The 16,155-nt window shown below is 44.6% G+C and overlaps 1 protein-coding gene across 13 annotated transcripts in view, besides 3 other annotated features; it reads right to left on the bottom strand.

Moving 5' to 3' along the window:
* Positions 4,589-5,511: an enhancer, noted in NCBI's record as "OCT4-NANOG-H3K27ac hESC enhancer chr4:76829825-76830747 (GRCh37/hg19 assembly coordinates)". NCBI's record gives its function as "activates a minimal SCP1, AML or CMV promoter by ChIP-STARR-seq in naive H9 embryonic stem cells {active_cell/tissue: H9 hESC(naive)}" and the evidence as "EXISTENCE:reporter gene assay evidence [ECO:0000049][PMID:30033119]".
* Positions 5,512-6,433: an enhancer, noted in NCBI's record as "OCT4-NANOG-H3K27ac hESC enhancer chr4:76830748-76831669 (GRCh37/hg19 assembly coordinates)". NCBI's record gives its function as "activates a minimal SCP1, AML or CMV promoter by ChIP-STARR-seq in naive H9 embryonic stem cells {active_cell/tissue: H9 hESC(naive)}" and the evidence as "EXISTENCE:reporter gene assay evidence [ECO:0000049][PMID:30033119]".
* Positions 6,572-16,155, bottom strand: part of NAAA (N-acylethanolamine acid amidase) — a 30,359-nt gene continuing 20,775 nt past the window's right edge. The window contains exons 8-11 of one of the 13 annotated variants that reach the window (XM_017008028.3): positions 15,826-15,892; positions 14,678-14,706; positions 10,825-10,902; positions 9,577-10,255 (exon numbers count right to left, since the gene is read on the bottom strand). In XM_017008028.3, the coding sequence (XP_016863517.1) occupies positions 10,252-10,255; positions 10,825-10,902; positions 14,678-14,706; positions 15,826-15,892 (178 nt within the window). In that variant the 3' untranslated portion in view covers positions 9,577-10,251. Of the gene's footprint in view, positions 7,271-9,576; positions 10,256-10,784; positions 10,903-12,354; positions 13,691-14,677; positions 14,707-15,825; positions 15,893-16,155 lie in introns of those variants that run through there. The other 12 variants (NM_014435.4, XM_006714180.4, XM_017008030.3 and 9 more) reach the window with 12 other exon arrangements.
* Positions 11,995-12,044: an enhancer, noted in NCBI's record as "active region_21623". NCBI's record gives its function as "activates an Ori minimal core promoter by ATAC-STARR-seq in GM12878 lymphoblastoid cells {active_cell/tissue: GM12878}" and the evidence as "EXISTENCE:reporter gene assay evidence [ECO:0000049][PMID:35858748]".

Consider the following 16,155-nt stretch of genomic DNA (forward strand, 5'->3'; position numbering starts at 1 on the left):
TACACCTCCTGGGATTAGCTGATCCCTGAGATGCAAACTAACCAATCTAGAGCCCTACCACCAAATCCCTCCTTTTTTGGACTTTCATACTCAAGGCCGTTATCTCTCTACCCTAATCACCCTGACATCATATATCAGACAACTCAGTGCAGTCTACAGTCAGGAGTCAGCTGACACTATTCCAACTAGCTAGTCCTCCACCTGCTTAGCCGCCTTACCCTGCCTCACCCATTCCTTCCCTCGAAAACCACAGTTCTCCTGTCCTCTGCCTGTGACCAACCTCAGTGTTCTCTCCCGTGGCTGTGCAGGTGTGACCTCTCCTCTTGGGAACGAGGAGTAATAAGCTATCTTTTAAATGGCAATTGTCCCCTGATCTGTTGGCCTTATCATACCTGAATAAAAATAGAATCTACATTTTAAAACGTTTATGCATTTTTAAATGTCTTAATGAGTACAGATGGCAGTTATCACTAGGGGTACTCATGGGGAGAGTGCCATCCACAAGTGGGGAAGAGAGGCAGAGGATCACATTATGTACTGTTTGATTTATTTTTATATTAGAAATCTGTTACTTGTGTTCTTATTATTATTATTTTTTTTTTTTTGAGACAGAGTTTCGCTCTTGTTGCCCAGGCTGGAGTGCAATGGCGCAATCTCGGCTTACTGCAACCTCTGCTTCCTGGGTTCAAGCGATTCTCCTGCCTCAGCTTCCTGAGTAGCTGGGATTACAGGCATGTGCCACCATACCTGGCTAATTTTTTATTTTTAGTGGACACAGGGTTTCTCCATGTTGGTCAGGCTGGTCTTGAACTCCTGACCTCAGGTGACCCGCCAGCCTCAGCCTCCCAAAGTGCTGGTATTACAGGCGTGAGCATGGTGATGCCCAGTCACTTGTGTACTTTTTAAAAACAGAATATTTTGAAAACCAGCTCTCTCCATCTGCCATGAAAGCTCTGTAGGCCAAGCCATTTTTATTTAAAAATATATATATATTTTTTGAGAACGGGTCTTACTTGCCCAGGCTGGTATTTGCAGTGGCACAATCACAGCTCACTGCTGCCTTGACCTTCCCGGACTCAGGCAATCCTCTTGCCTCAGCCTCCCAAGTAGCTGGGACCACAGGCATGTGCCACCATACCCACCTAATTTTTGTATTTTTTGTAGAGATGGGGTTTTGCTATGTTGTCTAGGCTGGTCTTGAGCTCATGCAATCCACCTGTCTCGGCCTCCCAAAGTGCTGGGATTACAGGTGTGAGCTGCTGCGCCCAGCCAAAATTTTTTAAATAAAATTTTCAATTTTATTTATTTATTTATTTATTTTAGGCCAGGCGTGGTGGCTCATGCTTGTAATCTCAGCACGTGAAAGGCCGAGGTGGGTGGATCACTTGAGGTCAGGAATTCAAGACCAGCCAGGCCAACACGGCAAAAGCCTGTCTCTACAAAAAATACAAAAAATTAGCAGGGGATGGTGGTGTGTGTCTGTAGTCCCAGCTATTGCAGTGAGCAGAGATCACACCACTGCACTCTGGCCTGGGCAACTGAGTGAGATGCTGTCTCAAAATAAAAAAATAAATTTTAACTTTTTAATTAAAAAATTTTATTGCCTCTTGTTTTTAAAATTTATTTTATTTTGGTAAGAACACAACATGAAATCTACCCTTTTAACAGATTTTCTTCTTTTTTTGAGACAGGATCCCACTCTGTCACCCAGGGTAGAATGCAATGGCATGACCACAGTTCATTGCAGCCTCGACCTCCCAGGCTCAAGTGATCCTCCCACCTCTGCCTCTTAAGTACTTGGGACTACAGGCACACATCACCACTCCCAGCTAATATTTTTATTTTTGTAGAGACAGAGGTCTCACTATGTTGCCCAAGCTGGTCTCAAACTCATAGACCCAGGCAATCTTCCTGATATGAACAGGAGACGGGGAAATACTGGAAAGTTATTTATTTTGTTTGATTTATTTACCTGCCAAAAGCCCCACCCTCAAGCCTGGAAACCCGAGGCCCCAAATGGGAACAGGCATTCCTGTTTTCGTGCCCAAATGTTGCATCTTGGCCCGCCACACCCCACATCCTGTACCCATATAAACCCCGAATCCCTGGGTCCATGAGGAGATGAGCAGAAGAGCCAAAGAACTGAAGAACGGCATGGCAGAGAAGGAGCATCTGAATATCTAGAGGAGTCCAGCTGGGGACAGTTGGAGAGGAGTTCTGCCACAGGACTGCTGAACTCCAAGGGAAGATCATCTTTCCACTCCGTCCCCGTTCCAGCTCCCCATCCATCCTGCTGAGAGCCACCTCCACCACTCAATAAAACCCCCATATTCACCACTCTTCAAGTCTGTGTGTAACCTGATTCTTTCTGGGTGCTGGACAAGGGCCCGGGTACCAAGGGGACACTGAGCTGGTTAACACTTAAGCCATCTGTGGATGGCAGAGTTAAAAGAGCACTGTAGCATGCCTACTGGGGCTTCAGGAGTCAAAGCACCACCCCTAGAAGCTGCCCTGGGGCCAGAGCCCAAAAGCGCTCACTCTGGTTCCTGCACCTGCCTGTCTGTATCCTCCCGCTCCTATAAGGGGTTTGAGCTTGTGGCAGCTGAACAGAGATCAACACCCCTGTTGAGTGTCCTGCAAGGGGAGCCAGGGAACTCTCCTGTTTCACCCCCACCTCCGCCTCCTAAAGTGCTGTGATTATAAGATAAACCACCACGCCTGGCCTCTTAACAGATTTTTAAGTGTACAATAGGCACGACGTACAGATCTCTAGAAGTTATTCACCTTGTATAAATGAAACTTTACACCAGTTGAATGGCAACTTCCTATTTCCCCAGCCCCTTAGCCTTTGACAACCACTCTCTACTTCTTGCTTCTATGAGTTTGACTATTTTAGATACCTCACATAAATGGAATTATTCCAGTAAGCACTGTGATTGGCTTATTTCATTTAAGATAATGTCCTCCAGGTTGTCATATTGCAGTGAAGAAAACCAAAATATGTCACCCCAAAATACACCTCTTTGAAATAAGAATTATTTTGAGCTAGGCGGGGTGCAGTGGCTCATGCCTGTAATCCCAGCACTTTGGGAGGCAGAGGTGGGCGGATCACGAGGTCTGGAGATAGAGACCATCCTGGCTAAGATGGTGGAACCCTGTCTCTACCAAAAATAAAAAAAATTAGCCGGGTGTGGTGGTGGGCGCCTGTAGTCCCAGCTACTCGGGAGGCTGAGGCAGAAGAATGGCGTGAACCCGGGAGGCAGAGCTTGCAGTGAACCGAGATCGCGCCACTGCACTCCAGCCTGGGCAACAGAGCGAGACTCTGTCTCTTAAAAAAAAAAAAATTATTTTGAGCTAAAGGCAATTAAAAAGCAGCAAACAGGCTGGGCATGGCGGCTCACGCCTGTAATCCCAGCACTTTGGGAGGCCGAGGTGGGTGGATCACCTGACATCAGGAGTTCAAAACTAGCCTGGCCAATATGGTAAGGCCCCGTCTCTACTAAATATACAAAAATTAGCCGGGCATGGTGGCGGGAACCTGTAATCCCAGCTACTTGGGAGGCTGAGGCAGGAGAATCGCTTGAACCCAGGAGGTGGAGGTTGCAGTGAGCAGAGATCATGCCATTGCACTCCAGCCTGGGCAACAAGAGCGAGACTCTGTCTCAAAAAAAGAAAAAAAAAAGCAGCAAACAGTATGCAGTGGCTCATGCCTATAATACCAGTGATTTGGGAGGCCAAGGCAGGTGGATTTCTTGAGCTCAGGAGTTTGAGAACATCCTGGCCAACATGGCAAAACCCGGTCTCTACTAAAAATTCAAAAAAAAAAAAAAATTAGCCAGGCCTGGTGGTACACGCCTATAATCCCAGCTACTCAGGAGGCTGAGGCACAAGACTTGCTTAAACCCAGGAGGCAGAGTCTGTGGTGAGTGGAGATCATGCCACTGCCCTCCAGCCTGGGCAACAGAGCGAGACTCTACTGCACTCCAGCCTGGACAACAGAGCAAGACTCTGTAGTCCCAGCTACTTGGGAGGCTGAGGTGGTAGGATTGCTTGAGTGCAGGAGTTTGAGGTTGCAGTGAGCTATGATTACGCCACTGCACTCCAGCCTGAGCAACAGAGTGAGACCTCGGCTTTAAAAAAATAAAAAAGAAGATAGTCTTGCTCCTCTTCTTCCTCTTTCAGGAAGGACAAAGGCTAATCCCCAGAGACAATTCTAGATCCTTATTGGCCTGGACATGGCACCAGAGAAATCTACATACCAAACTGTACAAACTAGGCTTTATCTACTGTTTAAGTCAAATAAAATATAGAGACAAATTTAACATTTTTTGGGGGAAGCAAGAATTGCAATTCCAGGTCGTCCACAGAGACAGGGTGATCTTCGGTACGTTCAAAGAACAAAGAGAAGGTTGGAAGTTTTATAAAAAGGAGAAATGTTACATATTGTTTTGAAAGAATGTTCATCAGCGCTAGTAAAGTTTTGGGAAGGGGGCAAACTCTGATTGGTGAGTGGTTGCAGTGGGTAAAATTAATCTTACAGTCTTAGCAGCTGTTTCAGTAGCTACTAGATAAAACTGGTTTCAGGTTTTAACGACGGTTTCAGCAGTCAAGCTTGCCAAGAATTGCATTCTTGGAGCAATGTTTTGTGCCCTGTGTGCTTTTTCTTCCTGTCCTCTAAATGCCCTTTTATAATTAAAAAAAAATTTTTAGAGACAAGATATCCTGTCGCCCAGGCTGGAGTGCAGTGGTGCAATCATAGCTTAACTTCAGCCTTGACTTCCTGGGCTCTAGCAATTGTCTCAAGTAGCTGGGACTACAAGTATGATCCACCACACTGGCTAATTTTTTTGTTTGTTTTTTGTAGAGACAAGAGTCTCCTTACATTGCCCAAGCTCCTAGTCTCAAGCAATCCTCCTGCCTCAGCCTCCCAAAGCGCTGAGCTACCGCACCTGGTCTTGACTTTTTTAGTTGGTCATGACAAGAATGACCCAATTCATATAATTAACTTTTTTTTTTTTTTTGAGACAGAGTCTCGATCTTGTTGCCCAGGCTGGAGTGCAATGGTGTGACCTCGGCTCACCTTCACCTCCACCTCCCAGGTTCAAGTGATTCTCCTGCCTTAGCCTCCCAAGTAGCTGGGATTACAGGTCCCCGCCACCACGCCCAGCTAATGTTTTTGTATTTTTAGAAGAGATGGGGTTTCACCATGTTAGCCAGGCTGGTATCAAACTCCTGACCTCAGGTGATCTGCCCGCTTCAGCCCCACAAAGTCCTGGGATTACAAGTGTGAGCCACCACACCCAGCCAATTAACTTTCATCTATCTTTTGTTACTATATGTTTTCCTTCCCACAATTTGCTGCCCCGAGAGACTCAAGGTCCTTTTCCTTTGTCTTGTCACTTCTCTAAAAATTTATAGTTCCTTTGCTAAGATGCCATATAAAAACAAGTTCAAAACAAACCTTTGAGTTACTCTTCTCTGGGTACTCCATATTGCGTATTCTGTACATATGTTAATCAACTTCTATTTGTTTTTTCAATTGTTAATCTTTTTTGTTGTTATGTTAATCTGTCTTTTGTCAGTCTAATTTACAAGGCCCCAGCTGAGAACGTAAGATGGGTAGAGGAATTGATTTTTCCTCCCCCACAGCGAGACCATCTTTTTTAATTTTTAGAGTCAAGTTCTCACTCTGTTGCTCAGGCTGGAGTGCCGTGGCATGATCATAGCTCACTGCAGCCTTAAACTCCTGGGCTCAGGTGATCCTCCCACCTCAGCCTCCCATGTAGCTGGGACTACAGGTGCACACCCCCATTCCCAGCAAAGTTTAAACAAATTTTTTTTTTTTTTTGAGACAGAGTCTCACTCTGTCACCCAGGCTGGAGTGCAGTGGCGTGATCTCAGCTCACTGCAACCTCCACCTTCCTGGTTCAAGCAATTCTCCTGCCTCAGCCTTCCAAGTAGCTGGGACTACAGGTGCGTGCCCAGCTAATTTTTGTATTTTTAGTAGAGACAGGGTTTCACCATATTGGCCAGGTTGGTCTCGAACTTCTGACCTTGTGATCCACCTGCCTCGGCCTCCCAAAGTGCTGGGATTATAGGCGTGAGCCACCACGCCCAGCCTTAAACAACATTTTTTTTAGAGACAAGGTCTTGCTATGTTGGCCAGGCTAGTCTCAAACTCCTGGGCTTAAGCACTCCTCAGCCTCCCGAGTAACTGGGATTACAGATGTGAGCAACTGTGCCTGTCTGTCTTCTTTTTAAAGGATGAATAATATTCCACTGTGTGTACATACCACATTTTCTTTATCCATTCATGCCTAGATGGACATTTAGATTGTTGATAAGAGTGTTACTTTCCTCCTGATATTGGAAGGACATCTTCCAAATGGAGATTTTATCTCTTGTTTTCAGGAAGAAAATGGGGAGGGTCAGAGTGAATTTCTTTTCCCTGCTGGTTTTGTAAGTGCCTTTAGCTCAAAATAGTCCTTATACCAAAGTGGCATATTTGGGGTAGTGTGTTCTGAGCTCCTTCAGCATACTTAAAGTTCAGGAGAAAAGACACAAGAGAATGTAGGTGAGCAATTCTGAGATAGCTGACTATTTTCCAAAATTGAACAAAAGACACAAACTTGAAATTTGGGGAGCACAACAAATCCCAAGCAGGCTTAAACAAAATTCAATATCTGGACACATTGTAGTTAAACCACGTGACACTGTTATCACTGTCACACACATCTGTGTGAAGAGACCACCAAATAGGCTTCATGTGAGCAATAAAGCTTTTTAATCACCTGGGTGCACGTGGGCTGAGTCCAAAAAAGGAGTCAGCAAAGGGTGGTAGGATTATCATTAGTTCTTATAGGTTTGGGATAGACGGTGGAGTTCGGAGCAATTTTTTGCAGGCAGGAAGTGGATCTTACAAAGTACATTCTCAAGGGCGGAGAGGATATTACAAAGTACCTTCTCAAGGGTGGGGAGGGTGTATCGTACAAAGTACATTCACAAGGGCGGGGGAATATCACAAAGTACATTATTGCAAGGGTGGGGAGGGTGTCTTGTCACAAAGTCAATTGATCAGTTAGGGTGGGGCAGGAACAAATCACAATGGTGAAATGTCATCAGTTAAGGCAGGAACTGGCTATTTTCTCTTCTTTTGTGGATCTTCAGTTGCTTCAGGCCATCTGGATGTATACGTGCAGGTCACAGGGCATATGATGGCTTAGCTTGGGCTCAGAGGCCTGACAATCACCTGATGGGTTCTTCTTGCTCACTGCACAGACAAAACCAATTCACTGAGATCATACTATTGCAGTAGAGAAAGAGTTCAATTAACAGTCCTAGCAGGAGCATGGATGTTATTACTCAAATCAGTCTCTCCAAGAACTCAGAGGCTAGGGTTTTAATGGATAATTTGGTGAGCTGGGGGCTAAGGAAGGGGGTTGCTGATTGGGGATGAAATTACAGGGGTATGGAAAACAGTCTTTATGCACTGAGTATGCCCTTTGGGTGAGGGCCACAGGACTAGTTGACTCATGGTCACAGGTCCTGGTGGGGTCCAGTGGTTGCCAGAATGCAAAAGTCTGAAAAACATCTCAAAAGACCAATCTTAGGTGCTATAGTAGTGATGTTCTCTACAGGAACAATTGGGGAAGTCACAAATCTTTGACTTCTAGCCACATGACTCCTGAGCAGTAAGGGATTATAGAAACTACGCCTACATTTAGCAGAATTCGGGTTCTTCCCATAATCCTAATCTCATAGCCTTCCATTAGTTTTACAAAGGTGGCTTTACTCCCTAGCAGGGCAGAGGTTAGTCTGAGGGTGGGGTTATTATCATCCTTTCTTTAAAGTTAAACTCTAAACTAAATTCCTCCCACGATTAGCTTGGTCTGTGCCCAGGAACGAGCAAGGACAGCCAGCCTGTGAGGCTAGAAGGAAGATGGAGTCAGCCATGCTAGACTTCTCTCACTGTCATCATCTTTGCAAAGGCGGTTTCAACAAAAAGGACAAATATCTGAAAAGCAACTAGAGTGTTGGATTACTTAAATCATTTTCCTGAGGAACAGCCCTCAATGCCTTCGCTTTGCCTGGTTAAAATTAGGGTATTCCCCAAATTTCCGAAGATCATGGCATATTTTCAAGAAAACAAAAATGGAATAAGACTAATAAGTAGAAATTTAGCCTGGCCAGGCTGGGCGCGGTGGCTCACGCCTGTAATCCCAGCACTTTGGGAGGCCAAGGAGGGCAGATCATGAGGTCAGGAGTTCGAGACCAGCCTGACCAACGTGGTGAAACCCTGTCTCTACTAAAAACACCAAAAATTAGCCGGGCATGGTGGCACACGCCTGTAATCCCAGCTACTCGGGAGGCTGAGGCAGTAGAATCGCTTGAACCCAGGAGGCGGAGGTTGCAGTGAGCCGAGATCGTGCCATCGCACTCCAGCCTGGGTGACAGAGGGAGACTCTGTCTGGAAAAAAAAAAAAAAAAAGAAATTTAGCCTGGCCAACATGGCAAAAGCCCATTTCTACTAAAAATACAGAATAAGCTGGGCATAGTGGCACATGCCGGTAATCTCAGCTACTCAGGAGGCTGAGACACAAGAATCGCTTGAACCCTGGAGGCAGAGTTTGCAGTGGGCCGAGATTGCACCACTGCACTCCAGTTTGGGTGGTGGAACAAGACCCTGTCTCAAAAAAAAAAAGACTAATGAGTAGAAATTTCTAGTTTCAATGGCTGTGTGATGTGTGATACAGCTGGCATGAGTAAACTACTTCTCATATTTGATTTTTAAAAGGGCATTGGATGATGAAAATTAAACGGTATTTATACGACACTGTCCAAGAAGAAACACGAATATTCTGGGCCACTAGAGACGTCTGCAGTATGTCAGGGGAGCGATGTTCTGTACCTGGATAACACTTCCTTCTAGACATTCTACTCACTATGCCAAAGGAAAAGTTAAGCCTGGGAACCGAGACACTCCAAAACTGCCTTCCTTTTGTTCCCAAACATAGCTGTAATTTCACACGGTTGCTTTATCTTATGTAAAATGTAGATTTACTGAGCACGAGATAAATGCATCATTGACTTTCCCTCCATTCCCTTGTTTTCATGTGCTAAATGTAGATTCACTGAGCACCAATAATAAGAGCTCACAAGAATGTAACCATTTGCCTCACTGTCTACCCTCTTTTTATCCCCCGCTCCTGCTTGCTCTTTCCCCTTTAAATACCGAAGTTCCTCAAACCCTCTTTGGGAAAAGCACAGGACAGGTCCTCCTGTGACTGGTGTTTCTTTTTCCCGGGCACATCCTTAGCCTTGGCAAAATAACTCTCTCATGGACTGAGTGCTGCTTCAGGCACATTTTCGTTTACACTTTTAACCTTTTCTGACTTCATCCTCAAGGACATTTCTTTCATGCACATGTGAAAAATCAAACTCTACCAAGCAGCTGTTCATTCCCTTGAATGCTGACACTTAAATAACATCACAACTAAGAGAGTTGCTTTCTCAGGACAGCAGTTCAGAACCATAAGACTTCGGAGGTAAAGAAAGCAGGGAGAGCATAACGCTAAGTTTCTTGGAAATTTTTTTATTCTCCTTGCCAACATTTCTTTTGACATTTTATTACTTAATTATGTGACATTAAGAAATAATTTGGTTGCATATTATTTTCAAAAAGCAGTAAGAAAGTAGCTATTGAGAAAGAAGGAGGGCCATAGGTTTTTCAATAAAACGTTAGAAACATTATAAAAAACGAGACTCCCATTACATGGAAACACATGATCAAAGATCAGACTAACACACATTCAAACAGGCTTGGTTCGAAATAGAGTTCTCCATTTCTTTCAGATGAGCCTTTTTTCTTAGGCTCTTTCAGAAGCACTTCACAATGAACAGAGGTCTTGCCAGCTCATTTCATTAGCGGAGAAGCAAAGGTATGATGGCAGAATCATGAGAAGATGGAAATAAGGCCTGAGGATATGGCTTGATCTCTGAGACCAATTATCTTTGAGTTATTCAGGCCAGGATAGAAGCTTAGAGAGGATCGAGGCAAACCATGAAGGGAAGGGAATGCAGGACAATGCCCATTACTGGCTTTACCACAAACTCCAAATCTCCTGGACCCACTTCGCAAGGTTGTAAAGTTAAATGAGGAAGGAGCCTGCATTGTTTGTAACATAATACAATACTTTCACTTTGTCTTATTTTTTAAGGTGCAGCTCTTCAAGAATTTCATTTTTTAAAAAATCATCTGTAAGGGAAGAAAAAAACGCATTTAATTCAAAGACTGATTTTTTTTTTTTTTTTAATGGAGTCTCACTCTGTTTCCCAGGCTGGAGTGCAGTGGTGTGATCTCAGCTCACTACAAACTCCACCTCCCGAGTTCAAGTGATTCTCCTACCTCAGCTCCTGAGTAGTCGGGATTTTGGGTACCCACCACCACACCTGGCTAACAGTTTTTTTGTAGTTTTAGTAGAGATGGGGTTTCACCATGTTGGCCAGGCTGGTCTTGAACTCCTGACCTCAAGTGATCTGCCTGCCTCTGCCTCTCAAAGTGCTGAAATTACAGTCATGAGCCATCACGCCCCGCCGAAGATTGGTTTTCATACAAACAATTCCAAATAAAATATCTAATGATGACAATCTGACACAAATGACAATGCCAGATGCTTGTCAGAAAATATTATATATGTATACATTTTAAGGATGTTACCACCCTCTGTAAGAAATACCAGCACACACCCACCTCACCCCCTCTCCACAAAACAGTAACAACAAACCTTTCACAGCACGGGCGAACTCGCTCTTCTGCTGACTTACTTTCTACTCGGGTTTCTGATCCTAGTCATGTACTTGTCTGGGCTACCGGCGCTCATTACCGTAGTATAAATTGTGAAGCTGAAAATTATGAGGAAATTTTATGTACACATCATTTTCTCTAATATGCCAGAAAGGGAAGAAAATGACCAAGTGCTTCCCTAACACTTGAGATCTGGGACAAGGCCCTTTATGCCAGAATATTTTAAATCTATGAATCAAGAGGTCAAAGTGCACTTTCCTCCTATTTTGACAACACTGTGGAAGGCCAAGTTGGAACTTAAAATTCTCAGACTTAATTAGCTGGGTGTGGTGGTGCCTGAAATCCCAGCTACTAGGGAGGCTGAGGCAGGAGAATTGCTTAAACTTGGGAGGCAGAGGTTGCACTGAGCTGAGATTGCGCCACTGCACTCCAGCCTGGGCAACAGAGTGAGACTCTGTCTCATAAAAAATAAATAAATAAAATCTCAAGACTCCTCAGAGCTCTACCCCAAGGCAGTGGGGGAGACCAAGCCTTGGCCCTCACCCTGGCTCTGTCCTACCCACAAGGGCCTTACTTGCACACATGTGACATCACCGCCTTCACATTCCCCAGCAAGCACCTGCCCCTGTGCTCTCTCTCAGTGGCCATGCACCACCATCAGGAGAATATCACCCAGGGAAGAGGAAAACACAAACCCTGGAAGTGGAGGTGGGGCTGTTCAGGCTGAGAATTACAGGGTCCTGGGTACTTGGGCAGACTCCAGGTGGGCAAATGCCCTTGGTCCAGCAGATTCCTTACACCATGCTTTGGGGGGGTGGTATCACAACTAGAGGAATTCCAGAGGAGGGCCTCTAAAGCTCCAGGATCAAGGCACCTGCCCCGCCCCTCCACCTTGCCCAGATCTAAGGATGAAAAGTATAGTGTCATTGATTACACATTCCGTATAACAAGAGACCTAAACAACTTGAGCACATGTGCCCACATGTACACACATTTGTCTTGGAATCCAGTTGAGGTGCATGTGCAAAATATCGGAGCTGGGTTGTTCAGAAACAGGCAGAATTAGTAGCACTGGGTCCACAGCTAAATCATACACCCAGTTAAAGACAGCACTGTAAGCAAGTGCAGAGCTCGTCCAAGGGTAATGGAGGTTCCCTGAACAGGACCTTAATTGCTCGTTTACTTTAGTCATAGTTCTGCTCTCCATTACTGTTTTAGTATTTTCTCTACTGATGAGCCACAGCAGAGGATGGAGATGTATTGCAGGTGGGTGTAATTTTGCAGCATGGCACAAAGGGGCAGCATAGAGCTAACTGCCTTTGTTCAGACTACTTTTTTGTTGTTTCTTTTTCTTTTTTTCAGATACAGCTACACTTATTTCTATTAACCTAATACAACTGAACAGCCTCAGTTGAGGTTAATCATTACATGTAAAGGGCCTGAGAGTCAGAAGTCTGTGTTAATTCTGGCTCCATGGTGATTGTCACTTAAAAGCAGTTTCTCTTGAATTTTCAAGTATACAACAGAGAAAAACACTACTTGGTAAACTGTTTATAATTTCTAACAATTTTATTTTGACCAAACCATTTCAGAAACCATTTAAACATTCATAACTGTTAACTCAGTAATCCTACTTCTGGGAATTCAGCCAAGGGAAATAATCTGAAAGTAAGCAGGGGAGAGGCAAACGAATATGTTTATTTCAGAGTTTTAATAGAGGAAAATCTAACAACTGGAGAATGCTTAACTCAATTATAATACAGCCAACTGGCCACTGCCACCATGTAAAATTATGAGGGCTGTTCAAAGCAGAGAAAATGCTTTGTTTTATTAAAATAAATGTAACTATTTTATTATAATACTAATTTTTAAAAGATATATTCATCACTTCTTTTTTTTTTTTTTTTTTTTTTTTTTTAAGACGGAGTCTCCCTCTGTCGCCCAGGCTGGAGTGCAATCTCAGCTCACTGCAACCTCTGTCTCCCGGATTCGAGTGATTTTCCTGCCTCCACCTCCCAAGTAGCTGGGATTACAGGCACGCACCATGACGCCTGGCTAATTTTTGTATTTTTAGTAGAGATGAGGTTTCACCATGTTGGCCAGGCTGGTCTCGAACTCCTGACCTCAAGTGATCCACCCGCCTCGGCTTCCAAAGTACTAGGATTACAGATGTGAGCCACTGCGCCCAGCCAGATATATTCATCACTTCTATAATTACCTAAAAAAACTATAAGAACACAAAAGTAGTTTATTAACCCCCATTTAAAAAATGACTATTAAAAGGGCAACATTGTGCCCCGCTATGAAGGGTACAGTCAATAGTGCATTGGAGCTAGCTCCTACAGTCTGGTGAGGGCCAATTATTAAATATGCAGGAAGTGTATGAGCCAACTATAAGCCTGAAATCAGCCATGTGGGAGTATTCACACCATGGAAGTCAACAAATGCTACAAATTTGGGAATTTTTTCATTTGTCCCTTCCCACACAAAGAGCTGGTTTACTAGCAGACCACTGGGTATGCTTTGTTATCCAAATAGCTCATTTGTTTGAGTAGCAGAATACTGACTAATTAGTTTTCTTTTCTTTTTTTTTTTGAAACAGAGTCTCGCTCTGTTGCCCAGGCTAGACTGCCATGGCATGATCTCAGCTCACTTGCAGCCTCGACTTCCCAGGTTCAAGCAATTCTCCAGCCGCTGCTTCCCAAGTAGCTGTGATAACAGGCGTGCACCGTCATGCCTGGTTGATTTTTGTATTTTTAGTAGAGACGAGGTTTCACCATGTTGGCCAGGCTGGTCTTGAACTCCTGACCTCAAGTGATCCACCCGCCTTGGCCTCCCAAAGGGCTGGGATTACAGGCGTGAGCCACCGCACCTGGCCTGCTTTCACTTAAAAAAAAAAAAAAAAGAAAAAGAAATTAAAAAGAATGTGAGTAAAATCCTAGGCTATACACTAGAGAAACCATTGCTCACAGAATGCTGCTATCAAGGGTACAGGCTAAAAAAGAACATTAACTAAGCGAATTGTCAGTGGAACAAGGAACAGCTTCGGAGATAGTGGAAATTCCTCCGGAGGATAAAAGAAAACCAAAGGTATTCAGAATTTATTTCTAAGGAGCTCCTAACAGGTGAAGGCTGTCCACAGCTACCTGACTGAGTTAGGATGAACACCTCACTGCCAGAATATTTCAAATGTAGGAATCAAGAGGTCAGCCAGTCAAAGTGTTTTTCCTTCTAGTTTGACAACACTATGGAAGGCCAAGTTTGAATTTAAGATTCCCAGAGCTGGCCGGGCGCAGTGGCTCACTCCTGTAATCCCAGCAATTTGGGAGGCCGAGGTGGGCAGATCATGAGGTCAGGAGATCAAGGCCATCCTGGCTAAAACGGTGAAACCCTGTCCCTACTTAAAAAATACAAAAAATTAGCTGGGCGTGGTGGCACGAGCCTGTAGTCCCAGCCACTTGGGAGGCTGAGGCAGGAGAATGGTGTGAACCTGGGAGGCAGAGCTTGCAGTGAGCCGAGATTGCGCCACTGCACTCCAGCCTGGGTGACAGAGCGAGACTCTGGCTCAAGAAAAAAAAAAATTCCCAGAGCCTCCTTCAGGGTCACTCTATTCTTTTTACCTTTGGATTTCTTCATGGACTTCTCACCTGATTTATATTTGTTTATCACCACCACCCCCACCCCACCCATATTAGTCCCATGAGAGCAGAGACTTTGTTTTGCTCGCAGCTGTACCCACAGGAGTGCCCCCACAGGAGTGCCCCCACAGCCTGGTTACAGGAGCCCTCAGATCCTTGCTGAGCCAAACAGTACGTGAGTGAGTTCACTGTTCTGGAGTGATGTGTGAACAGACATGTTTAACAAGCCACTTACTTGTTATAAACTGGAACCACCGACAAAATCTGCATAGGAAAAAGTCATTTTATAGAGAAGATTACATGGTAGAAGAAATACACATAGAATATCTATGGAGGGCCGGGTGCAGTGGCTCAGGCCTGTAATCCCAGCACTTTGGGAAGCCGACGTGGGAGGATTACTCAAGCCCAGGAGTTCAAGACCAGCCTGGGCAACATAGAGAGACCCTGTCTTTACTAAAAAAGAAAAAAAAAGAATGTCTGTAGAAAGAACATAACCACTCTTTAGTGTACCTTGAGGTGATATAGACTTTTTTTTTGAGACAGTCTTGCTGTGTCACCTGGGCTAGAATGCAGTGGCATGATCTTGGTTCATTGCAACCTCCGCCTCCCAGGGTCAACCGATTCTCCTGCCTCGGCATCCCAAGTAGTTGGGATTATAGGCACACACCACCAAGCCTGGCTAATTTATATATTTTTAGTAGAGACGGGGTTTCACCATGTTGGCCAGGCTGGTCTCGAAGTCCTGACCTCAAGTGATCCTCCTGCCTTGACCTCCCAAAGTGCTGGGATTATAGGTGTGAGCCACCACATCCGGCCTGACTTTTTAATTCTTTCTCTTTTTTTCTTTTAAACAATGAACATATATTACAACTATGACTTTTTCTTTTTAATATAAAGAAAAACTTTGGTGAAGATGGACATTTTAACTTATATAAAAGCAAGTTGAGAAAATGTCATATAATTTTTTTTTTTTTTGAGACGGAGTCTCGCTCTGTCAGGCTGGAGTGCAGTGGCGCAATCTCGGCTCACTGCAAGCTCCGCCTTCCGGGTACACGCCATTCTCCTGCCTCAGCCTCTGGAGTAGCTTGGACTACAGGCACCCGCCACTACACCTGGCTAATTTTTTGTATTTTTAGTAGAGACAGGGTTTCACTGTGTTAGCCAGGATTGTCTCAATCTCCTGACCTCGTGATCTGCCTGCCTAGGCCTCCCAAAGTGCTGGGATTACAGGTGTGAGCCACCACTTTTAATACATGATTTCAACCAAATAAAACTTTTACCCTAACGTTTTCATCTACCAGAAGATTTCACGGAGTTTTTCATATTCACTATTAACAAAACACCAAACATCCTAGGTATGCAGGACACTGTGACACAAGTTACCTGGAAAAGTGCCTCCAGGCTGAGGTTTGCTTGTCCTGTAGCATTAAGGGCCTTGATGGCAGATGTTCTGTAAGGACAAAGGTCGAAGGTCACTTGGCATTTCAACAAGCACTGAAGCCCATCAGCTGTCATTTTTGGGAGGCAGAATGCAAGCTCCAGTCTCATTATCTCCCTTTCTCCAAAACAGATTCTGGCCCCAAGCCTGTTTCCTGCTGAGGCCCAGCCCACCACAGTGGAATTCATCCAGCAGCTGGGACGGTTGGCACCATCTGCTCCAGAAAGCTGGGATGATGAAAATGTGTGGCTGCAGAACTGAACAGTGGCCAAACT

This window comes from Homo sapiens, chromosome 4, assembly GCF_000001405.40.
Source record: "Homo sapiens chromosome 4, GRCh38.p14 Primary Assembly".
Classification (NCBI taxonomy): Eukaryota; Metazoa; Chordata; class Mammalia; order Primates; family Hominidae; genus Homo; species Homo sapiens.